Source organism: Homo sapiens, chromosome 6 (genome assembly GCF_000001405.40).
Source record: "Homo sapiens chromosome 6, GRCh38.p14 Primary Assembly".
Classification (NCBI taxonomy): domain Eukaryota; kingdom Metazoa; phylum Chordata; class Mammalia; order Primates; family Hominidae; genus Homo; species Homo sapiens.
Window position 1 is genome coordinate 10,802,549 of NC_000006.12, and position 24,790 is coordinate 10,827,338.

Below are 24,790 nucleotides of genomic sequence, written 5' to 3' on the forward strand. Positions count from 1 at the left end.
CCTGGGCTTCCCAAAGTGCTGGGACTACAGGCATGAGCCACCATGCCCGCCTTTATAAATTTTGCAATATTAAGCTCTTGTCTGGTTTTAGATCCTGATGGTGATGTTGCTGTGATGATACCTGGGTTAACTCTGAACAAATAAGGAAAAGTGCTTTACAAAGAGGCTGACTGTGAACAAAGATCCTTGTCGTGTATATTACCCATTGCATACAATGTTAAAAATGCACATATCTGGGAAATGACAATTACATTAAAGCTTTAATATCTACATTTACTTGTGTAATGTTAACTACAAGGCACTTACTAATTTAATTAGGATGTCATTATATACACACTTATAAAGCACATTTCAGAAAGAAAGGTGTAGATGAAATATAGTTAATTGAAAAGCACTCAGTTCAAGAAGTCAAATATCCACAGGGGAGATATAAAAAAGGAAACAAGAAACGGTTAAGAAAAAACAAGGTTCAAGACACCAGGGGTTAACAGGTGATGCCAATGGCCAGCCACAGAATGAGCAGGAAAGAGCTCAAGCAAGGCTGTCTGTACAGTGTCAGCTGGGCATCACCCCCAAGTTACACTCTAAACACACAGAATTTTTCCTGAAGTTCTTAAGGAAAGGCAAGCACCTGTTTTTCTTCAGCTGGTGGGATTCTGGCTTCTTGCAATCCTTAACCCACTCCGATTAAAAAAATAAGGATTACAGCCGGGCGTGGTGGCTCACACCAAGTAATCCCAGCACTTTGGGAGGCTGAGGTGGGCAGATCGCAGATCGCTTGAGCTCAAGAGTTCAAGACCAGCCTGGCCAACATGGTGAAATCTCCTCTCTACTAACAATAGAAAAATTGACCAGGCGTGGTGGTGCACACCTGTAATCCCAGCTACTTGGGAGGCTGAGGCATGAGAATTGCTTAAACCTGGGAGGTGGAGGTTGCAGTGAGCTGAGATTGAGCCACTGCACTCCAACCTGGGCAACAGAGCAAGACTCCATCTCAAAAAAAAAAAAAGAATTATAAGAAAATTAATCATTAAAGTATGAGCCTATTTCAAAATGAAAATATCAGATATCTAGGCAAAAGTTGTAAATAATCAAAATTATAAAATTAAAAGCAAAGTAGCAAGATAGAAATAATCAAAAGTTATAGCAACTTAGGGACAAGAGTACTTACTTTTTTGGGAGTCCCTAAAACTTGGCAAATTTTAAAGATTTCATCGACCTCACTTGTCCCTGGGAAAAGTGGCCTTAACATATAGAGTTCAGCCATGATACTTCCAACAGCCCACACATCAATGGGAGAACTATAAACTGAAGATCTCAGTAAAACTTCAGGGGCACGATACCTATGAAAATAGAGAACAAAAGAGGTAATTTTGATTGCAATTTCAAAGGTGGATGGGCAGTAGCATTCTACGCTGTGTGGTCATGCATTTCCATCAAGGAACAGGTATTCAGACCCTGTTCCATCTGTGTGTCAGGCATTTGTACAATGTTCTGGGGATAATAGGACACAACACATGTTCCCTGATCACAGACAATGAGTGGGGCTGGAGACAAATGTCTATGAAATGTCCATCAAGCCTAAGACAGGAACTCAACTGAATAGATATGGAAATAAGTGCCATCTGATATATTAAGAAAAAAAGTAGAAAAACTATGTTACAAAGCATTATATTCAGCATCTATTCACAAGGAAGCACAGAAAACAAAAGATGAACAGGATTATATCCTGAGTAGTGGAGTTTTTTTTTATCAGTTTGAAAGTACTGATATCCTCAACTGACTCCTCTTCTGTAGTCAACTATATTTATTGAGTGGAGTTTTGCTCTTGTTGCCCAGGCTGGAGTGCAATGGCGCGGTCCCGGCTCACTGCAACCTCCGCCTCTTGGGTTCAAGTGATTATCCTGCCTCAGCCTCCCGAGCAGCGGGGATTACAGGGGCACACCACCATGCCCAGCTAATTTTTGTATTTTTAGTAGAGACGGGGTTTCCCCATGTTGGCCAGGCTGGTCTCGAACTCCTGACCTCAGGTGATCAGCCTGCCTTAGCCTCCCGAAGTGCTGAGATTACAGGCATGAGCCACTGCACCCAGCCTAACAATATTTTTAATTGAGAAAAATACTCAATTTACAAGAGCAAAGTGAGCTGGTGAGTCCAACACAAAGTCTGCTAAATGGAAGACACTCTCAATTCTCTTTTTTTCCAACCAAAATGTGTAAATATTTCAGTCCAAATGTTTGGCATACTGTCTTTTTGCTTTCATTGAGAATACTGCAAGCCCTCAAATAAACTAGTTTTGTTCACTGTTGTTTTTGCTCAATGTTGTTTCATTGTAATGTTGATGAGAAAGAAAAAAAAAGAAAGGCATTTCTGGCTGGGCCAATGTGTGGGGTTTGCACATTCTCCCCAAGTCTACAAGTTTTCTCCAGGACTCCAGCTTCCTCCCATATCCTAGATATGTGCATGTCAGGTGAACTGGGGTGCCTGTGTGGCCCCAGGATGAGTGTGTGCATGTGTGTGTCGGGGGGGGGGTGGGGAGGGGGCGTGCTGCCATGGGAGGCTGTCCCGTCCATGGTTGGTGCTCACCTTGCACCCCCAGCTTCCAGGACACGCTGTTGCCACCTGTGACCCTGAACTAGAATAACTTGGCGAATAATTATCTTCCTTGTTTTTATTAATGTTTCTCAAATGTATGTATAGCTTACATGTATTTCAATGTTCAATATTAGTGTTTTGGTCACTATTTAGAAGTTTGGTGGCCAGGCACAGTGGCTCACACCTGTAATTGCAGCACTTTGGGAGACCAAGGCGGGTGAATCATGAGGTCAGGAGTTCGAGACCGGCCTGGCCAACATGGTGAAACCCCGTCTCTACTAAAAATACAAAAACTTAGCTGGGTGTAGTGGTGGGCGTCTGTAAGCTCAGCTACTCGAGAGGCTGAGGCAGGAGAATCACTTGAATCCGGGAGGCAGAGGTTGCAGTGAGCCGAGATCGTGCCACTGCACTACAGCCTGGGTGACAGGAAAAAAAAAAAAAAAAGAAGTTTGGTGATGTTTTTGTGACCAGAAACGTGCCATAAAATTGTTTACTTTAATTAGCCTATGGTCGAATTGGTTTCATCATATGTTGTTTCACTTAAAGTGAAACTTTCCAAGAACCTACTGATGATGTTAAGTGAGAACTTACTATACTTTGACGAATATTTTTACAAGCTTTATTGATATATAATTCACATAATATACAGTTGATCCATTTAAAGTGTACATCACACTGCTTTCTCCCAAGGTGCCTTCACGTGTCTTCCCTCTTCCATCTCTCTGTCTGCCTTCTTTTTATAAGGACATCAGTCTTACTGGATTAAGACCAGCCAGGCTGTGGTCTGACCTCATCTTAATCTGATTACATTTGCAAAGACCCTATTTCAAAATAAGGTCACATTCGCAGGTAACCAGGGCGGATCCCTCATGAAAGGCCTGGTGCTGTTCTCACGTAGTGAATGAGTTCTTTTTCAGGCAAGATGAAATTAGTTCCTGAGAGAGTGGGTTGCTCCACGGCAAGCTTCCTCCTCTTGTTTGTTCCCTTCTCGCACGTGCCCATTTCCCCTTTGACCTTCACCCCGCCATCTTTTCTTTTTTTTTTTTTTGAGACGGAGTTTTGCTCTTGTTGCCCAGGCTGGAGTGCAATGGCGCGATCTCGGGTCACTGCAACCTCCACCTCCCGGGTTCAAGTGATTCTCCTGCCTCAGCCTCCCAAGTTACAAGTATGTGCCACCATGCCTGGCTAATTTTTTTTGTTTTTGAGACAGAGTCTTGCTCTGTCACCCAGGCTGGAGTGCAGTGGCGCGATCTTCGCTCACTGCAAGCTCCGCCTCCCAGGTTAACGCCATTCTCCTGCCTCAGCCTCCCAAGTAGCTGGGACTAGCTGGGACTACAGGTGCCCGCCACCACACCCGTCTAATTTTTTTTTTTTTTTTTTTTTTTTTGTATATTTAGTAGAGACGGGGTTTCACTGTGTTAGCCAAAATGGTCTTGATTTCCTGACCTCGTGATCCACCTGCCTCGGATTCCCAAAGTGCTGGGATTACAGGCGTGAGCCACTGTGCCCGGCCTAATTTTTGTATTTTTAGTAGAGACTGGGTTTCACCACGTTGGCCAGGCTGGTCTCGAACTCCTGACCTCAGGTGATCCACCCGTCCTGGCCTCCCACAGTGCTGGGATTCAGGTGTGAGCCACCACGCCCGGCCTGACCTTCTCCACCATGTTTTGATGCAGCATAAAAACCCACATCAGAAGCCAAGCGGATGCCAGTGCCATGCTTCTTGTACAGCCTGCAGAACTGGAAGCCAAATAAACCTCCTTTCTTTACCAACTTCCCAGCCGCAGGTGTTCCTTTACAGCAACACAAAAAAACACACTAAGACACGGACTCCTTTCTTTCAGCCCCCACATCTGATTCATTAGAATCCCACATTTCTCACTACCTGCATGGCCAGCAGGTCCAAGTCACTATCATTTCTGGCCACTCTACAAACTCTGCCCTTGTTTCCTACGACTGCCCTCCTTATTCATTCTGCACTGTGCAGAATTCACGTGTGGCGTGCACCTGTCTCAAGGCTTTTACTCTGCCTAAAAAAAATCCTGCTGGCCCTGGCATCTCCATCAGGGCTACTCTCAGTCAGACCCTCCATGTAACATTCCTTTCTCTCCCCATCTCCCCCAACTCCCTGCCCCCTTTCCTATTTTATTTTTCTTTATAATAATGTATCAACATCTGATACACATATATTCCTTTTTTTTTTTTTTTTTTTTTTTTGAGAAAGAGTCTTGCTCTGTTGCCCAGGCTGGAGTTCAGTGGCGCAATCTCGGCTCACTGCAACCTCTGCCCCCAAGGTTCAAGTGATTCTCATGCCTCAGCCTCCCAAGTAACTGGCACCAAGGCGCGTGACACCACACCCGGCTAATTTTGTATTTTTAGTAGAAACGGGGTTTAGCCATGTTGGCCAGGCTGGTCTCGAACTCCTGGTCTCAAGTGATCCCCCACCTCGGCCTCCCAAAGTGCTGGGATTACAGGCGTGAGCCACCATGCCCAGCCTGATACACATATGTTCTTGTTTTCACTGGAGTATAATATTCACACAGGCAGAGGCATGTGTTGTAAGAGTAGAGCTTGATGAATTTTCACAAATACAACACATCCACAGACCCAGCACCCAGATCAAGAAAGACATGTTATCGGCCGGGCCCGGTGGCTCACGCCTGTAATCCCAGCACTATGCATAGGAGGCCAAGGTGGGAGGATCACCGGAGGTCAGGAATTTGAGACCAGCCTGGCTAACACGGTGAAACCACGTCTCTACTAAAAATACAAAAATTAGCTGGGCATGGTGATGGGTGCCTGTAATCCCAGCTACTCGGGAGGCTGAGGCAGGAGAATCACTTGAAACCGGGAGGCAGAGGTTGCAGTGAGCCGAGATCACGCCATTGCACTCCAGCCTGGGCGAGAGAGCGAAACTCCATCTCAAAAAAAAAAGAAAGACATGCTATCAGCACCCAGAAGGCCCCTTGTGCACTAGTCCAGGCACTACACACATCCCCACCCCATAGAACTGCTTGCTATCCTGACTTTCATGGCACAGATTAGTTTTCTCTTTTTTTGTACTTTGCATAAATGAAATCATATGGTATGTGCTCTTTTTCTCTTTGGGCTCTTGATCTCAACATTGTCTAAGATTCGTCCACATTGCTGCATGCAGTCATAGACCCTTCGTTCTCATTGTTGCAAAGCATTCCACTGGGTGAGTATACGATGCTACTGTTCATGGACGTTTGGGTGGCGTGCAGTAGAGAGGATTCATGTCTTCTGGTGAACACGTGTATGTCTTTCTGTTGGTGATCCATAATATTTTTAACTTGTTTATCTGTCTATTGGCTGTCATGTAAGCAGCATAAGGCAGAGATTTTTCTTTTCTTTTTTTATTTCACTGCTGTGTTCTCTGTGCCTAAAATGATGTTTGGCACATAGTAGGTGTTCAATAAATATTTGTTGAATGAATGAATGAGTGAATAAATGAAATTCTTTTTCCTTTTTTTTTCAGTGATCAGAATAGCAATAAACCAATCCTTCGCTTTCTTTAAAGAATATAAAATTCAATTCTGTGTTTTAAATATTCAATATGGAACTTCCAGAAATATGTAACAATCCATCGTAGGAAAATTTCACCATAGGCTTATGCCTCAGGAGGGCTGCATAACCCCTACTCACCATCTGGTAGATACATAATCAGTGTATGGTGGCTGTGACCTTAATTCTCTTGCAAGTCCAAAATCAGCAATTTTCACAAGCTCTGGACCCATACAAAGCAAGTTTTCTGGTTTCATGTCCCTATGAAAAAAGCCTTGATGATATACGGAGAAAAAAAAATACAGTAAATCATTACGTTTAAACATAGCTTTATTTGATTTATAAACAAAATATAAATGAACCCCCTCTTTTATAATTCAAAACATCATCTTAGGAAAAAAGTAAACCATATTTATTGTCTAAGAAGTAAATGGGGCGTAGGGACCCTGCTTTTAAAATGCTTTGGCAAGAAAGTTCACACAGTGTATGAGATAATTAAAAATAACCACCCATTTAACATTTATTTTTATTTGTGACTCCAGTGGGTGTTCAGGCACTGGGCTAGGTATTACCACACTATGATTATCTCCATTCATTTGCACAACAACCTGAAGGAGGTACTGTTATCACTATTGTGCAATAGAGGAGGAGGTTGAGGGCCAGAGTGAAGTCACCTAATTAACGTGTGAGAAGTGTTTTTGTTTTTAAGATAGGTCTTGCTCTGTTGTCCAGGCCAGAGCGTAGTGGCTCGATCTCGGCTCAAGCAATCCTCTCGGCCCACTAAGTAGCTGGGACCACAGGTGCATGCCACCACTCCCACCTAATTTTTGGTATTTTTGATAGAGACAGGGTTTTGCCACGTCACCCAGGCTGAGAAGAGCACTTTTTAATCAGGCTTGAGTCAGTGCAGCTGACTTCTTGAGAAAAATCACTTGTTTAAAAAGTCCATTCAATAAAAATGGAACTCCACACATCAGAACTAATTTCTTCATTTAAAATTATTTTATCTAATGTTCAGTTTTCCTCAATAGCTGTGTCGTTGCAAAATCCCAATAATTATAATGTTTATATTAGCAATTCAATCTATAAAATAAATGGTTATGAAGCTAAAAGGGAAACCAAAGAAAATGAGGCAGAAAGCCCAGTGGGGGCCAGGCGTGGTGGCTCACGCCTATAATCCCAGCACTTTGGGAGGCCGAGGTAGGTGGATCATGAGGTCAGGAGTTTGAGACCAGCCTGGCCAATATGATGAAACCCCGTCTATACTAAAAATACCAAAATTAGCCGGGCATGGTGGTGTGCGCCTGTAGTCCCAGCTACTCAGGAGGCTGAGGCAGAAGAATCACTTGAACCTGGGAGGCGGAGGTTGCAGTGAGCTGAGATCATGCCACCGCACTCCAGCCTGGGCAACAGAGCAAGACACTGTCTCAAAAAAAAAAAAAAAAAAGAAAGAAAAGAAAAAGAAAACCCAGGGGGAAAAGAACAAACATTAAAGCCCTCCTGGCAGATGAGATTTGTCTTAAGGGAGGCTTTTTCTAAGGGCAGTCTACAGCATTCTGGTTATATCCAAATGGCTTGGGTTCCAAAGGCCTTGGGAGGCAGGGAGACTGCAGGTGATCACTTGAAGAGGGTTTTCATGTAGCTTTGGAGCTGGGAAGACTTTCTTTTATCTTTTTCTTTTTTTTTTTTTTTTTTTGTTTTGAGACGGAGTCTTGCTCTGGAGTGTAGTGGCGCAATCTGGGCTCATTGCAACCTCCGCCTCCTGGGTTCAAGCGATTCTCCTGCCTCAGCCTCTGGAATAGCTGGGATTACAGGCGTCTGCCACCACACTCGGCTAATTGTTTGTATTTTTAGTAGAAACTGGATTTTGCCATGTTGGCCAGGGTGGTCTCAAACTTCTGACCTTGTGATCCACCTGCTTCACCCTCCCAAAGTGCTGGGATTACAGGTGTGAGCCACCACGGCCAGCTGGGGTTGGGAAGCCTTTTTAAGCCTAAATGTTTTTAATCACTTCAAAGCCAGAGTGGGCTCTGTTTGTGACATCTGTTTAACAGTTTTGTAATCTGAGTTTATCCAGTACTTCTTACTCTAAATAGTAAGTAACATCCATTTCACTATGTCCAAGAGACATTCAGATACTTTTGTAATGTAACGACAGGAATGGGACCATGTGATGCACAGCAGAGTGACACTAATCCATAAAGTCTTAGAGAACTAAACCAATTACATATTTGTACAGCTGAGGTTTTCCCCATCCTAATATACATATATTAATAATTCAGTCCTATTTGAACTAAATATTTTCATTTTTTTGACAGCAACTATTTTATTTTATTTATTTATTTTTTGAGACAGAGTCTTGCTCTGTCACCCAGGCTGGAGTGCAGTGGCATGATCTCAGCTCACTGTAATCTCCGCCTCCCGGGTTCAAGCAATTCTCCTGCCTCAGCGTCCCAAGTAGCTGGGATTACAGGCATGTGCCATGATACCCAGCTAATTTTTGTATTTTTGGTAGAGATAGGTTTTCACCACGTTGGCCAGGCTGCTCTTGAACTCCTCACCTCAAGTGATCCGCCTGCCTTGGCCTCCCAAAGTGCTGGGATTGCAGGCGTGAGCCACCACGCCCGGCCAAACAACTATTTTAAAATATCTATTTCTTGAAGTATTACATCTGAGATGCTTAGCAGCAAGAATTATGTGGCTTTCGTAAAAACGTCTAATCATCCTTATAGGCTGGTTTCCCAAATTACTATGTAGCCAACTCTACAGTCAACTGTTGATTATTCATGTTATTTCTTTCAGTCACAATTTTTAAATCGTAATCGAACTTCCTCCTTCAATCCCTTATGCTTCAGACGTTGCTGACAGCATAAATCAACCCAGGCAAATGTCAAGTGTTACCATGCTGACCAGAGTTTAAAACAATTAAAAATCAGGAATCCATTATGAATAATTAAAATAGCAGATGTCCCTTATTTCCATATAATTAATACATTACTGCTGTTTGCCAATAAAGTGTAGTATATCATTACAGGATTTAGACTTTTAAAAGACCCCAATAGTTTACATATGGTGCAAATAAAAAGTTTTTTTTTAATGTTCTTAAAACATTCTAAACATACCCTTTTTATAAGTTTAAGAAGTGTTCTTAAAATATTTATATGGAATCCTGCATAGCATTTTTGGAAGGCAAATAATTCCTGTAGCAGTTAAGAAAATAAAAAAAACAAAATATAAACTACAGGAGGAGGATGGGTGTGATGGCTCCTGCCTGTAATCCCAGCACTTCCGGAGGCTGAGGTTGGAGGATCACTTGAGTCCAGGAGTTCAAGACCAGCCTGGGAAAAATGGCGAAACCTCATCTCTACAAAAAAGAAAAAAATTAGCTGGGTGTGGAAGCGTGCGCCTGTAGTCCCAGCTACTAGGGAGGCTGAGGTGGGAGGATCACCTGAGCCCAGGAAGTGGAGGCTGCAGTGAGCCATGATGGCACCACTGCACTCCAGCCTGGGCATCAGAGTGAGATCCTGTCTCAAATAATAATAATAATAGCAATAAAATAAAATACAGGATGAGACATGAAGGGAAACTAATGGTGATTTTCCAGTGCCTATGTTCAGAACACAGCAATGGTATGGGACAAACTTTTCTAATTTAGTATCTAAACATCTAGTGATTCTAAACAAATGTTTTTAAAAAATAATCATATTAACTTTTTGGACTAATAATTATTTTGATTTGATAGATATGAAAAACTACATTAATTGAAGTACATAATTCATAGAAAATAGATCAAGTATTAATACTTGCTTTAATTTCATTCACAGAATAGAAACAACTAAATGTAAAAACTAAGGAAAACTATAAAACACTGCTCCGTGGGTGCTACAAACTATTTAAGTGTTAATAATTGGTCATGCTAGATCAAAATAATCTAATCTTTTCCAAAAGAAGGTCCTTTTTTTTTCATTTCCACGATAAAATTAGGGAGAATGAGGTTGCAAGATGGGTATATGATGACTGAGACTAAAGGCTGATGATGATTAAACTGTTAAAAAATTCTGCTGTGGTGGAAGATAATTATAGATTATAGAAATTCTATTTTTTTATTTTTTGAGATGGAGCTTCGTTCTTTTTGCCTAGGCTGGAGTGCAATGCCACAATATCAGCTCACTGCAATCTCTGCCTCCTGCGTTCAAGCGATTCTCCTGCCTCAGACTCTCAAGTAGCTGGGATTATAGGCGCGCGCCACCAAGCCTGGCTAATTTTTTACATTTTTAGTAGAGATGGGGTTTCACCATGTTGGCCAGGCTGGTCTCGAACTCCTGACCTAAGGTGATCCCCCCCCCCGCCTCGGCCTCCCAAAGTGCTGGGATTACAGGTGTGAGTCCGGCCTGGTATGTATGTATGTTATGTATTTTTATATATATATATATATATATATATATATATATATATATATATATATAAATTTTTTTTTTTTTTTTTTTTTTTTTTTTTTGAGATGGAGTCTCACTCTGTTGCCCAGGCTGGAGTGCAATGGCATGATCTCAGCTCACTGCAACCTCCACCTCTGGGGTTCAAGCAATTCTCCTGCCTCAACCTCCTGAGTAGCTGGGATTACAGGCGCCCGCCACCACGCCCAGCTAATTTTTGTATTTTTTTTTAACAGAGACAGGGTTTCACCATGTTGGCCAGGCTGGTCTCAAACTCGTTTGACCTCAGGTGATCCGCCTGCCTTGGCCTCCCAAAGTGCTGAGATTACACACGTGAGCCACCGTGCCAGCCAGAAATTCCATTTTATACAGAATCACAGAAATTGATAAAGTTTTTAAATAAAAATGTCAGTGTGTATAGGCACATACTCCAGATTCATAGTTATCCAATATAACAGTTATTTAACAGTTTAATAAATTTGTATGCACAATCTGGACAGTAATCTAAAGAGGTAGGGAAATTAAACTTAAAAGAAACCTACCATGTTTATGGATAAAAGCCAGCCCTTGCAATATTTGATACATAATATTTCTGATGACTGATTCAGGGAACAACTTGTTTCTGTAAAGAAATGAACAGTCACATAATTCTGTTAAGCAACCAGCCAACCAATCCAAAGAAGGTTTATATTCCCCCTGCCTTGGAGCCTCTACTGGCCTCACGATACTGGTTAAACCTATGATTTATAGATTTATACTCTTAAAGCTCACACATTTAAAACATGAAAATTAGATTTTTTTTTGTTTTGATGTGAGGTAAAAACTCAAATCCAAAACTGAATATATTGCACACATATTAAATAGCTAATTTTTTTTTTTCTTTTGAGACAGAGTTTCACTCTTTGTTGCACAGGCTGGAGTGCAGTGGCGCAATCTCGGCTCACTGAAACCTCCACCTCCCGGGTTCAAGTGATTCTCCTGCTTCAGCCTCCCAAGTAGCTGGGATTATAGGCATGCACCACGATGCCTGGCTAATTTTGTATTTTTAGTAGAGACAGGGTTTCGCCATGTTGGTCAGGCTGGTCTTGAACTCCTGACCTCAGGCGATCTGCCCACCTCGGCCTCCCAAAGTGCTGGGATTACGGGCATGAGCCACTGCACCTGGCCTAAATAGCTAAATTTTAAACTGTCCCAAGAAGAGCAAAGCAAGTTGAAAAACTGAATTACTAACAGATAAGCCAAGCATGCAAATCTGTATTATGCAGGCTTGAAGAATTTGAGAGATGGCCGGATGTGGTGGCTAATGCCTATAATACCAGCACTTTGGGAGGCCAAGGTGGGAGGATCGCTTAAGCCCAAGAGTTCAAGACCAGCCTGGGCAACATGGTGAAACCTTGTGTCTACAAAAAATACAAAAATTAGCCAGGTGTGGTAGCGCATGCCTGTAGTCCAGCTGCTGGAGAGGCTGAGGTGGGAGGATCACTTGAGCCTGGGAATTCGAGGCTGCAGTGAGCTGTGACTGTGCCACTCCACTCCAGCCTGGTGACAGAGTGAGATCCTGCCTCCAAAAAAAAAAGCGGGGGGGAAATAAATTTAGAGATATAAATAAATGCTTCAGTTCTATTCTGCATATTGGTGTTGTCCAGTAGAAATATAAGAGCCGGCTGGGCATGGTGGCTCATGCCTGTAATCCCAGCACTTTGGGAGGCCAAGGTGGGTGGAGGTCAGGAGTTCGAGAGCAGCCTCGCCAACATGGTGAAACCTCATCTCTACTACAAATACAAAAATTAGCTGGCGTGATGGCACATGCCTGTAATCCCAGCTACTCAGGAGGCTGAGGCAGAAAAATCGCTTGAACCCGGAGGGTGGAGGTTGCAGTGAGCTGAGATTACACCACTTCACTCCAGCCTGGGTGAAAGAGCGAGACTCCATCTCAAAAAAAAAAAAAATAAAGAAAGAAATATATATGAGAGCCACTTGTGTACTTAACATCATTTTTCTAGCAGCCATGTTAAAATAAATCAAACAGGTAAAATTAATTTTTAACAATATATTTAATTTAACCTAATATATGCCAAATATTATTTCAACATGTAATCAGTATAAAAATGAGCTGACTGTACCACTGTACTCCAGCTTGGGTGACACAGCAAGACTATGCCTCTAAAACAATGTTTTTTTAATTATTTATTTTTAAAATTTTACCTTTTTAATTTTTATTTTTTGAAAAAGAGATGCGGGCTGGGTGCGGTGGCTCCCCCCTGTAATCCCAGCACTCTGGGAGGCCAAGGCAGGTGGATCCCTTGAGTTCAGGAGTTCAAGACCAGCCTGGGAAACATGGTGAGACCCTGTCTCTACTAAAAATACAAAAATTAGCCAGGCATGGTGGCACGTGCCTGCAGTCCCAGCTACTTGGGGCACCGAGGCAGGGGAATTGCTGGAGCCCAAGAGGTCGAGGCTACAGTGAGCCATGTTTGCACCACTGCACTCTGGCCCTCCAGCCAAGGTGAAAGAGCAAGACCCTGTCTCTGAAAAAAAAGAGAGACACATGGTCTCGCTATGTTGCCTAGGCTGGTCTCAAACTCCTGGGGCTCAAGCAATCCTCCCGCCTTGGCCTCTCAAAGTGCTGAGATTACAAGCATGAGCCATCAAGCTTGGAGTAAAAATTATTAATAAATTTGTTTTGTAACAAGTTTTCAAAATCTGATGTGCAATTTATTTTACATTTACAACACTCTTCAATGCAAACATTTCAGGACTTCAATAGCCACATCTGACTAATGGGTACTGTATTAGTGTAGCTTTATACAGTATATATATATATATATATATATATATATATATATGTATGTTTTCTTTTTTGTTTGAGATGGAGTCTTCTTCTGTTGCCCAGGCTGCAGTGCAGTGGTGCAATCTTGGCTCACTGCAACCTCTCCCTCCTGGCCAACGCAGTGAAACCCTGTCTCTACTAAAAATACAAAAATTAGCTGGCCTCCTGGGTTCAAGCAATTCTTCTGTCTTACCTTCCCGAGTGGCTGGGATTATGGGTGGCCTCAACCTCCTGGGCTCAAGCAATCTTCTCACCTCAGCCTCCAAGTAGCTAGGACTACAGGTGTGTGCCACCACACCTGGCTAATTTTTTAATTTTTTTGTAGAGATGGAGTCTCACTATGTTGCCTAGGCTGGTCTCAAATTCCTGGGCTCAAGTGATCCTCCCACCTCAGCCTCGCAAAGTACTGGATTAAAGGCAGGAACTACCACATCCATCCAGATTTATATATATTTCAAAAATAGATGAAAATTTAATATTTCATGAATTTACATGTATTTCATTTTTTTCTTCAACAAGGGTATCTTGATATTTCATGTAAGTATATATCATTTCAATATTTTAAAGGACAAAATTTATTAGAGGCTGAAAATTAAGATTACCCATAATCCCACCACCTGATTAAGAAACTTTTAATTTTTCAGTATTCTAATCCAGTCCTAATCCATCTGCATACATAACTTTTATATTAGGAATGAAAGTCACATACACACAATTTGGTTTGTTTTTTCACTTACAAGCGTTTTCATAACCCTTATAATTATCACCTTTAATGGTAATAATTCCATCAATATTATATACAATAATTACCAACCTATTTTCACACTAATTATTTATTTTAAATAGTTCAAAAAGTGAAGCTTAGTATAGCCATTTAACAGAATATATTATTTATAACTATAAAGACTAAGTATCCACATAAAAAATACTTGTAAGTAAATTAATCAAATAAAAAACTTTGTCCCACTAAAATTACAACTAAGTAAAAAGGCGTGCATGTCTATATAGAAGGCCTAGAAGGGACTCTGAAAAAGTAAAAACTGATTTGAGGGGCAGAAATTTACTTTTATTTTAATTGACATTAATGTTATGATGATTTCGGCCTGGAACATAAGAGGCATTCAATAAATATGTTTTGAGAAAGGGAAAAATATGATTAAAGAATAATTCAAGTAACATCCTCAGACCTTGAGCGAGAGTGTGTGTGTGTGTGTGTGTGTGTAAGAATCAAAGAGAAATCAACATCATTACTTCGGAAAATTATTTCTAAGTATTTCAGAGTTTGTTGTTGAACATTTCTCACTTTAAAAGCAGGCAAAATGGATGTTAATCTCCCAGACATGACCAGAACCACCACCAAAACATTATCTCCCCAAGCCCAGGGCGGAAGACCAAAGCTCTCCCTTTACAGATTCTGCCCACACATATTTAAAAATTGTGAATTTCCTTGGGATTGGTAACACATCAAGTCTTATCACTGACTTGTGCATTCTAATGACTGAGCTTTTTAGATCCTTTCTTGAAAGCAACTTCATTCCTTTCTCCATTCTTTCATTAACCTTCACAAGATGCTTGGGAGAGCAACCAAGATAATTTTCTCAATAATGCCCAAGGCCAGCTTTATTATTGAGTAATAAACTATACATAAATTTGTATTTTAAAAAGCATAAATAGATAGTATGTGTATTTATATGAGATACTGGCCTTCACTTTCAAGGATTTACAACAGAAAAATGCTGGCTATGTCACAGCTGGTTCTTCAGTGTTAAATGTTACCCTTTGATAAAGGTAACAGAACTGGTTAATTTAAATTTACCTTTTGGAGCAATCAATCTTTCTCTCATAAAGTATGACATATCAAAAGGATCCAAAGAACTCATGGAGAGAATAACAGGGAAAAACATGAATAAAAACATACCTGTCTTTCATTAATTGATAGAGGTTTTCTTTCATATATTCAAATATAAAATAAAGATGGTCATTTTCTCTGATAACTTCTTTCAATTTAATAACATTGGCATGATTAAGTTTCTTCAGAGACTGAAAAATAACAAATATGCCTTAAAATTTCTTAAAAAAAACTTACAGAATTTGGCAAAATTGCATCAATGCTAAGTGTAATAATTACCTTATGTAATTTTCCATTTCTCCTGGGTTCATTAATTAATTACATTTTAATATCTACATAATTGCTTTAAGTAATGAACGTTAAGTGCAAACAATAAATCAAGCCAACAATAGCTATTAAACATTTCAATCTGTTACGTTTTTCCCTTGGTTTATAAATAGGTCTAACTTTTGTCTGACTTAACCATGCAAAGGTATCCAAAATTGTATCCAAGTCTTTAAGCATAAAATCTAAGGAAATGGTATGTAGTAATTTAAAAAGTTGTCTTTGGTGGCTGAGCGTGGTGGCTCTTGCCTGCTATCCCAGCACTTTGGGAGGCTGAGGCGGGCAGATCACCTGAGGTCAGGAGTTGCAGACCAGCCTGGCCAACATGGTGAAACCTTGTCTCTACTAAAAATACAAAAATTAGCTGGGCATGGTGACACACACCTGTAGTCCCAGCTACTCGGGAAGCTGAAGCAGGAGAATCACTTGAACCCAGGAGGTGGAGGTTGCAGTGAGCTGAGATCACACCACTGCACTCCAGCCTGGGTGACAGAGTAAGACTCTGTCACAAAAAAAAAAAAAAAAAAGTTGTCTTTGCATAATATGATTTTAAGATGCTCTTTTAAAAGTGAAAGTGAATTTTCAAATGTGAGGATATAATTATACGCTGTTCTCCACTGACATCAGAACCAGAAGAAATGAGAAATTAATTTAGGAATATAAAGGAAAAACAAACAAAATTATCTTCAGAATGCTTCCCACAGAGAATAAAATCATCTTAACTACGGTCCTCAGGTAGTGTTAAGGCCTTCTCAGGTTCTTTTCATCTTTAGGATTTTACCTTAACTTCTCTCAAGTTCATGCATTCATCCCAAGAATAGAACTTTCTCTTCATCCTAAAATAAATTAGGGAAAGTTTAGTGTTCAGGGATTGAGGATTCAAAGACACACATTACACTGTTGGCTTTCTTACTCCACTACTGGTTCACTTTGGGCGAGCTATCTTTCTCTGTCCTCATCCTTATAAGGAAATCACCTCCTATACCTCAAGGCTACTTGGTAGGCCTACGTCACATCCAAAATTCAGCTTTAATCAAAAGTGAAAAAATTACCATTAATCTTCTTTTCTGGGTGAGTTCTTAACATTTCTCTAATCAGTTTAATTGTGCCTTTCTTAAAGGGTCCTTTTCAAGATTCTCTCTTTTTAGAACTTAAGAGGCCCATAAAGTTAAATGTCTCCCTACTTAAATGATTTAAGTTGGCAAAAATTCAGAAGTAACTACAAACGTTAGAAATGGCTTTCTTGGCCGGGAACGGTGGCTCACGCCTGTAATCCCAGCACTTTGGGAGGTTGAGGTGGGCGGATCACAAGGTCAGGAGTTCAAGACCATCCTGGCTAACATGGTGAAACCCCGTCTCTACTAAAAATACAAAACAATTAGCTGGGCGTGGTGGCAGGCGCCTGTAGTCCCAGCTACTTGGGAGGCTGAGGCAGGAGAATCACTTGAACCCAGGAGGCAGAGGTTGTAGTGAGCCAAGATTGCGCCACTGCACTCCAGCCTGGGCGACAGATGAGAAATGGCTTTCTTGAATTTTGTTCTTTACTTCCCCTCTTTCATCCCAATGTTGGTTTCTATTAGAGATAAATATACCAAAAGTGTATTTAAGAGTAAAAACTATTTCCACTATATACACCAGTTAGTTGTTGTTTTTATATGAACATGTGTTTTTATATGAACAGATTTTTAGTCACCATACAAAACAGGGGATAATAAACAGGATTCATGGCCGGGCGCGGTGGCTCACACCTGTAAGCCCAGCACTTTGGGAGGCGGAGGCGGGTGGATCATGAGGTCAGGAGATCGAGACCATCCTCGCTAACACAGTGAAACCTCATCTCTACTAAAAATACAAAAAATTAGCCAGGCGTGGTGGCGGGCACCTGTAGTCCCAGCTACTTGGGTGGCTGAGGCAGGAGAAGGGCGTGAACCCGGGAGGTGGAGCTTGCAGTGAGCCGAGATCGCGCCACTGCACTCCAGCCTGGGTGGCAGAGTGAGACTCTGTCTCAAAAAAAAAAATTTAAAAAAAACAGGATTCATATTCTAAAAAATGTTTCTTCAGGCATGGGAATTATAAGGCTGGGCTGTGAAAAAGAAAAACCAAATATGCCATGCTGCTTTCATTTAGTATTATAATCTCCTATCGAGATGTTCCAGAAGATCCTTGGGAAGCTTAGCGTTGTCTTTATTAATTACAATAATCCTTAAGATCCAGAGGCTCTATGGGGGTATAATACACAGGTGAGGAAATGAGTAAAAATTGGCAGCACAACATCACAGCCAAGAACAGAGGCTGTGGAACCGCACTGCCTGGATTCAAATCCTTGCCCAGTCACTCACCATATGACTTTGGACAAGTCACCTAATGACCTGTCTGTGCCTCAAATTCCTTAGCTAGCCATACAGTAGAAACTACTGCATAAGAAAAGCATCTTGCAAACTGCTTAGTTCAGCACTCAATAACTACTAGATGTTTTCATGTTTACCAATATCTATGATTGACTATAAGACGAAATAAAGGACATCACTGAGATGACCTCAAGGGCATCACTGCTATTATTTCTAAAATATCCTTAGTGAATCAGAATTTCATTTGCAGTTACTCAGGTACTAGATATTTATGAAGAAGCGTGATGAAATGGGGGTTTACTAGCTTATTAAAAGATACTTTTCAGTGCCATAGATTTATAAAATGTCTTGCTAAAATGTAAAATGTAAATCTAGCACAATGATGAATTTAAAATAAAACAGAAGCCAATTCAAATACAGCTATGAAAGAAAAGTTGATTAATAAAATGATCATATCCATGTGAAACTGCACATATAATCTGCTATGATTCTTTTTATTTATTTTATTTTTTTTGAGACATGGTCTCATTCTGTCACCCAGACTGGAGTGCAGTGGCCTGATCATGGCTCACTGTAGCCTTGACCTCCTGGGCTCAGGTGATCCTCCCACCTCTGCCTCCTGGGTAGCTGGGACTATAGGTACATGCCACCACGCCCAGCAACTTCTTGTATTTTTTGTAGAGATGGGGTTTCACCATGTTGCTCATGCTAGTCTCAAACTCCTGGGCTCAAGCAATCTGCCCACCTCGGCCTCTCAAAGTGCTGGGATTACAGGCATGAGCCACCACACCCAGCCTGCTATGATTCTTGAAACGTAATTTCAGAATTTTATTTCATTTTTGAGATGGAGCCTCGCTCTGTCACCCAGGCTGGACTGCAATGGCGTGATCTCGGCTCACTGTTACCTCTGTCTCCCAGGTTCAAGCGATTCTCCTACCTCAGCCTCCCAAGTAGCTGGGATGACAGGTGTGTGCCACCAAGCTCGACTAATTTTTGTATTTTTAGTACAGATGCGGTTTTGCCATGTTGGCCAGGCTGGTCTCGAATTCCTGACCTCAGGTAATCCGCCCACCTCAGCCTCCCAAAGTGCTGGGATTACAGGCATGAGCCACCACTCCAGGTCTAGAATTTTAAAAGTATCCAATCTTTTAGAAGCCAAATAAAAATACGTTCAAGTTACTTTTCAAGCTTCAGTGATAACTGAAACTTTCATTCTACCTGTAAAATCTGCACTCTCACTGGCATGCTGGTGTGCGCCTGTAGTCCCAGCTACTCTGGAGGCTGAGGCAGGCGGACTGCTTGAGCTCAAAAGTTAGAGGCTGTAGTGTGCTATAACCGAGCCTGTGAATAGCCACTGCACTCCAGCCTGGGCAACACAGGGAGACTTTGTCTCTTAAAAAAAAAAAAATCTGAGGCCGGGCACGGTGGCTCACACCTGTAATCCCAGCACTTTGGGAGGCCAAGGCGGGCGGATCACGAGGTCAGGAGATGGAGACCCTCCTGGGTAACAGGGTGAAACCCCATCTCTACTGAAAATACAAAAAATTAGCCAGGCGTGGTGGCGGGCGCCTGTAGTCCCAGCTACTTGGGAGGCTGAGGCAGGAGAATGGCGTGAACTCGGGAGGCAGAGCTTGCAGTGAGCTGAGATCGCACCACTGCACTCCAGCCTGGGCAACAGAGCGAGACTCCGTCTCAAAAAAAAAAAAAAAAAAAAAAGCTGGCCGGGTGCGGTGGCTCACACCTGTAATCGCAGCACTTTCAGAAGCTGAGGCAGGTGGATCACCTGCGGCCAGGAGTTCAAGACCAGTCTAACCAACATGGAGAAACCCCGTCTCTACTAAAAATACAAAAATGAGCTGGGCATGGTGGCGCATGCCTATAATCCCAGCTACTTGGGAGACGGAGGCAGGAGAATCGCTTGAACCTGGGAGGCAGAAGTTGCAGTGAGCCGAGATCGCGCCATTGCACTCCAGCCTGAGCAACAAGAGCAAAACTCCGTCTCAAAAAAAAAAAAAATCTGTATTCTCTTCATCCATCCAGATGTACTCTCTTCATCTCTTCTTCTTTCCAGCAATTACCACTTCTCAGCAGTACTTCCCTTCCCTAAGGCAATGCATGTATCTATTTACAACAAATACAGAAGTTTCCTTACAAAATGATTATCCCAAAGGTAAACCAATTGCTTAGAATAGCTAAGAAAAGGCATTTCCTTTTAGGTTCCTTGCCATCTTTTGTCATTTATTAATTCGTCAATATCCACTCCATGCCAGGGCAATGAACAAATAAGAGATGGTACCATGGTGTTCCCATCTGACACAGGAAATCAACTTCAGAAATAGAACTACCTCTCAAGTTCTTAAAGGGCAGAGGGCTTAATAGATATTTATTAACTTAATTAAGTGAGGGAATCTTTCTACCATCCTCTATCATAAAGTAAATAACTTTTTTTAAAAAAAATTGCAGAAAAGACAAGATTTCAGTGATCTAAATTAAAACTCCCCAAAGGAAACATTCAAAGAAACCTCTTATTTTGTTCAGTGTAGTGTTCTCCCAACTTCTAACCATTCCCCCTCCAACACATCCTAGCCAGTTTTGACTGCATTTCTAGACCGCTCAAAAGGTTTGCCTGCTGAATTAAGCACAGACTTTCTTCTCCATGTTTACATTAGCAGATTACACCACCCTGTCCATCATCTACCAACTGCCATGCCATGCCCTTGCTTCTTCAGGCCAACTCCCAAAAGCAGAGGGCCAGCATTCAGCTTCTTCTCTGCTTCTCAACGTAATTCTGAACTTGTTTACTTCCTACTTGTTAAATTCCATATGGAACTTGTTAAATTCCATATCTAATAACACATGGAACTTGTTAAATTCCATAGCTGAACTTCTCTAATTCCAATAGAAACCCCCACTCCCAGCCCCCGACACCGGCTCTTTTGTTTAAAAGGTTTTTAGAATGAAAACACCTTCCAGGTAATCAATTTCCCTTTAAGGGGACATGTTTACTGCCCACTCTGAAAATTAAGAATAGGCAGCTCTTCTTCAGCTACTCCACAAAATGTATTCAATGTAGAACGTATTTATTTATTTATTTAGAGACAGAGTCTCACTCTGTTGCCTGGGCTGGAATGCAGTGGTGTGATCTCAGCTCACTGCAACCTCCGCCTCCTGGGTTCAAGTGATTCTCCTGCTTCAGCCTCCTGAGTTGCTGGGATTACAGGCACACACGACCACACCCGGCTAATTTTTGTATTTTTAGTAGAGATGGGATTTCACCTTGTTGGCCAGGCTGGTCTCAAACTCCTGACCTCAGGTGATCCACCCCACTTGGCCTCCCAAAGTGCTGGGATTACAGGCATCAGCCACCACACCCGGCCTGGAATTTATTTTTAATTTTAGGGGAAAAGTATCGATGGATCTTAAAGCGGTATCTAACAAGTTATACCTAGAATATTTATAGCCTAAATTGGAAATGCCTAAAATTTTATATCACCAAGCAAAAGATTGATAGGATATTATGGGATGTGAATTGTTTTGGTAACAAACAAAAAAAAAAAATGAGAAGGGAGAATGAAGACTCTAATATCTGTAATTTTCAGGTAAAGTTTATCCCTCTATATCGGGCTTTAAAGAGATGGCAAAGCCTGCTTGTATGACTCTTGTAGATAACAATCACTGTCTCATTCAGACTTGAGGAGTAACGGCTATAGTGAATATTCAATGTAGGTTAAACTGATAACCCTGCCAGTAGCCTGGCTTCACAGTTGCTTAACTCCTAAGAGATGTTCACCTCTGTCTTACCACAGTTACCATAAACTCCTTGTTATGAGGAATGGTCCTACTGTCCAAGACCTAACAACCTAACTTCAGACTCTTGATCATAACCTCCTATCCTTTTCACCGTCGCTACCCTCAAAACTTCTTTATACAACCTCTTTCTTGTTCAACTTGTGGCTATTCCTACAACCACCTGTGTGGCGTGGTTTGCCTCCTCATCCAGCTTGGCCCCACCATCAGCCTTTCACCCACTACACTCTCAAGATCACACACACGTTCTGAACATCCCCTTCTCCCACCGTTCCACTGCTCCTGCCTTGTCATCCTCCAGTCTCCCCTCTCCTGCCTTGTCATCCTCCAGTCTCCCCTCTCCATACAGATGGGTGGAGGTGGAAAGCAAAGTCATGAAAATGCTCCCAGCGGCTCCACTTTCACATTCGTCCATGTAATTTCAGGCGGACTCTTCCTGACACTGGGCAACCCCTTTGTGGCTTTCTTAACAACTCAGTAACTCATCCTTCACAACTCTCCAAAGCTCCATGCCTCCACTGCCGTACTTCCCGCTACTCCTTGTCCCACTGCAGTCTGGCTTCCACTATTCCACTGGAACAGTGCTCACCGTGGCCGCCAGTTATGTCATATTCCCCAAACCCAAGGAACACCACAGCCGATGATATTGTTGAAATATCACAAGGCCATTTCCAGCCCCTTTCCTTCTGCCTCCTAATATAGAGACTGGAAGAGTAAATACTCACTCTCTCAGCCTCCTTTGGAAGAGAGACCACGTGACCCAATACTAGCCAGTAAGATGTAAGGGGATGTCCTTGAGGACTTCTGGGGAAGAATTATCACTAGCTGATAAAAGATGAGAAGAGTTTGCTCGTATTATTCTGCCCTCTTCCCTCCTTGAACATGGACGTAATGCCTGGAGGTGAAGTAGCCATAAGGTGGTCATTAGGTGACACATTTGAGGACAAAAACAATGCTAACCGCTCAGCATGAAAATCATAGAAAACATCTGAATTTCTTGGGTACAATGTTGAGCCATTGAAAGAGCTCTGGAATCATCACACTCCAGACTTCTTGATACGTGCTTCTGCTTCTTTAGATCTTTCCCTTGGTTTCAGATATTTTCTACATTCTCCTGGTTTCTACCCTATTTCTCTGGTGGCTCCTCAGACTTTTTTGTAAGATCCTATTCCAGGGCCCATCCTTTATATGCCATGGTTTCTCGGTGCCCTAAATGAGGACCTCTTTTCTTCTCCCTCTAAAGAGTTTCAATTGCCATCTGTAGACTAACCATTCCAAATCATTAGCCTGCACCTCTGTTTTGAGATTTAAATGCAAATATTCAATTGACTAAAAGTCATCATGCCCCAGACTGAATTCAGCTTTACCCCTAAGCCTGTGATTTTCCCCTCCTTGACATGGTACATGGTACATGGCACCACCACTATACATTTAAGCCAGAATCCCAGGAGTTAGCCTGGACTCTTCCCCATTTTTTACTCCTCCCTCCACCCTCATGCCCAGTCACCAGTTTCTATAGAGCCTGCTTCCTACATGTCCCTTGACTGTATCCACTTACATCCATCCCCAAAGCTATTTTCCTGTCAGGCCACCACCACTTCTAACCAACATGACTGCACTGACCTTCTAACCTCTAACCAAGATGACTGTATTGACCTTCTAACTGGCCACCTGGTGTCCAGTCTTGACCTCTTCAATCGTCTCCACTCTTCTGCTAATCAGCCAGTTCCAAAAATTTGATCACATCAACAATTCTGCTGAAAATCCTTCATGACCTTCTAGTCTTCAAGATATACACGCTCCTTCATCTGGCTTCACGACTTCACCTGCTAGCCTCACGTCCCTCCTCTGCCCCACTCGTAATCCACGCTCCAGCCACCTACACTTCTTTCAGTTACTCAGCCCCAGTTAGGCCCTCACACACTCTCTCTCGCCTCCAGGGCTTCATACGTACTATTTCTTACTCCCTGGAGCATTTCCCCCCACCCCCCCTTTTAAAAAAATAATTTTCTCTCATTCTTGAGGTCTCAATGACTTGGGAAGACTTTTGTGATACTTCTCCAGTGTGGCTTATCTAGGCTCCCACAGGACCCAATATTCCCCCATCATAGGACTTAGCATACTTGATGTTGTAACTTCTTGAATCTGTTGGTCTTCCTGAGTATATTGTAAGACATCTATTTTGTCCCGATCATGAAATACAACAGGAGTTTAACAATTTTGTGCTAAATGAATTTTTCAATTTTCTTCAAGTCTTCCATGGGACTCCTCTTCTCATTCATTTTTGCTCCATCTTTGCCTAAGGTGGAGCACTGCCCAACACACAGTAGATACTGCATGTGGCAGACACACGGTAAGCTGAGTAGCTGAAAGCCCTCCTTCTCTACCTCTTCATTCACAGAGTCAGCTTTTACACAGGAATATAAAATGCTCAGCTAAGTAATCAGTTTCCCAGCCTCCCTGCAGCTAGGGGTGCCATGTGGTACACTTCTGATCAACGAGAAGAAACCCTATGCATTCTGGATGGGATGTGAGAAAGCTTTTGCTTTCCCAATTAAAAGAGTACAGTAGGCCGGGCACGGTGGCTCACGCCTGTAATCCCAGCACTTTGGGAGGCTGAGACTGGTGGATCACCTGAGGTCGGGAGTTCGAGACCAGCCTGACCAACATGGAGAAACCCCGTCTCTACTAAAAATGCAAAATTAGCCAGGCGTGGTGGTACATGCCTGTAATCCCAGCTACTCGGGAGGCTGAAGCAGAAGAATCGCTTGAACCCAGGAGGCAGAGGTTGTGGTGAGCTGAGATCGCGCCACTGCACTCCAGCCTGGCAACAGAGCAAGAATCCATCTCAAAACAAAACAAAACAAATACCATATTTTTGAAGGATAAAACAAATACCATATTTTTGCCACTCAGAAAAAAATGATGGACATTTTGTCATATAAAACCAGACAGTAATAACCATCTGTGGGACTGTACCCAAGACCCAACACCCCTTCTGATTCGCCTACCCTCCTCCCCAGAACCCATGGCTATCATGGATTTTGGGTGTATCTTTCCAGGCCTTTAAAAATATTTT

At 42.1% G+C, this 24,790-nt stretch overlaps 1 protein-coding gene across 15 annotated transcripts in view, besides 1 other annotated feature; it reads right to left on the reverse strand.

The window, feature by feature from the left end:
• MAK (male germ cell associated kinase) overlaps positions 1-24,790 on the reverse strand; it is a 75,817-nt gene that overhangs the window by 39,826 nt on the left and 11,201 nt on the right. For 14 of the 15 annotated variants that reach the window (XR_926215.4, NR_134935.2, NR_134936.2 and 11 more), the window contains 5 exons: positions 16,338-16,392; positions 15,302-15,423; positions 11,096-11,175; positions 6,262-6,394; positions 1,172-1,343 (listed from right to left, as the gene is read on the reverse strand). Coding sequence is in view for 8 of the 15 variants with exons in the window: in XM_011514622.4 (XP_011512924.1) it covers positions 1,172-1,343; positions 6,262-6,394; positions 11,096-11,175; positions 15,302-15,423; positions 16,338-16,392 (562 nt within the window). In the remaining 7 variants the exon portion in view is untranslated. Of the gene's footprint in view, positions 1-1,171; positions 1,344-6,261; positions 6,395-11,095; positions 11,176-15,301; positions 15,424-16,337; positions 16,393-24,790 lie in introns of those variants that run through there. The other variant, XM_011514624.3, reaches the window with a different exon arrangement.
• Positions 11,907-12,092: a silencer, noted in NCBI's record as "fragment chr6:10814688-10814873 (GRCh37/hg19 assembly coordinates)". NCBI's record gives its function as "represses an EF-1alpha promoter that drives an FKBP-Casp9 reporter gene in an ReSE screen in HepG2 liver carcinoma cells {active_cell/tissue: HepG2}" and the evidence as "EXISTENCE:reporter gene assay evidence [ECO:0000049][PMID:32094911]".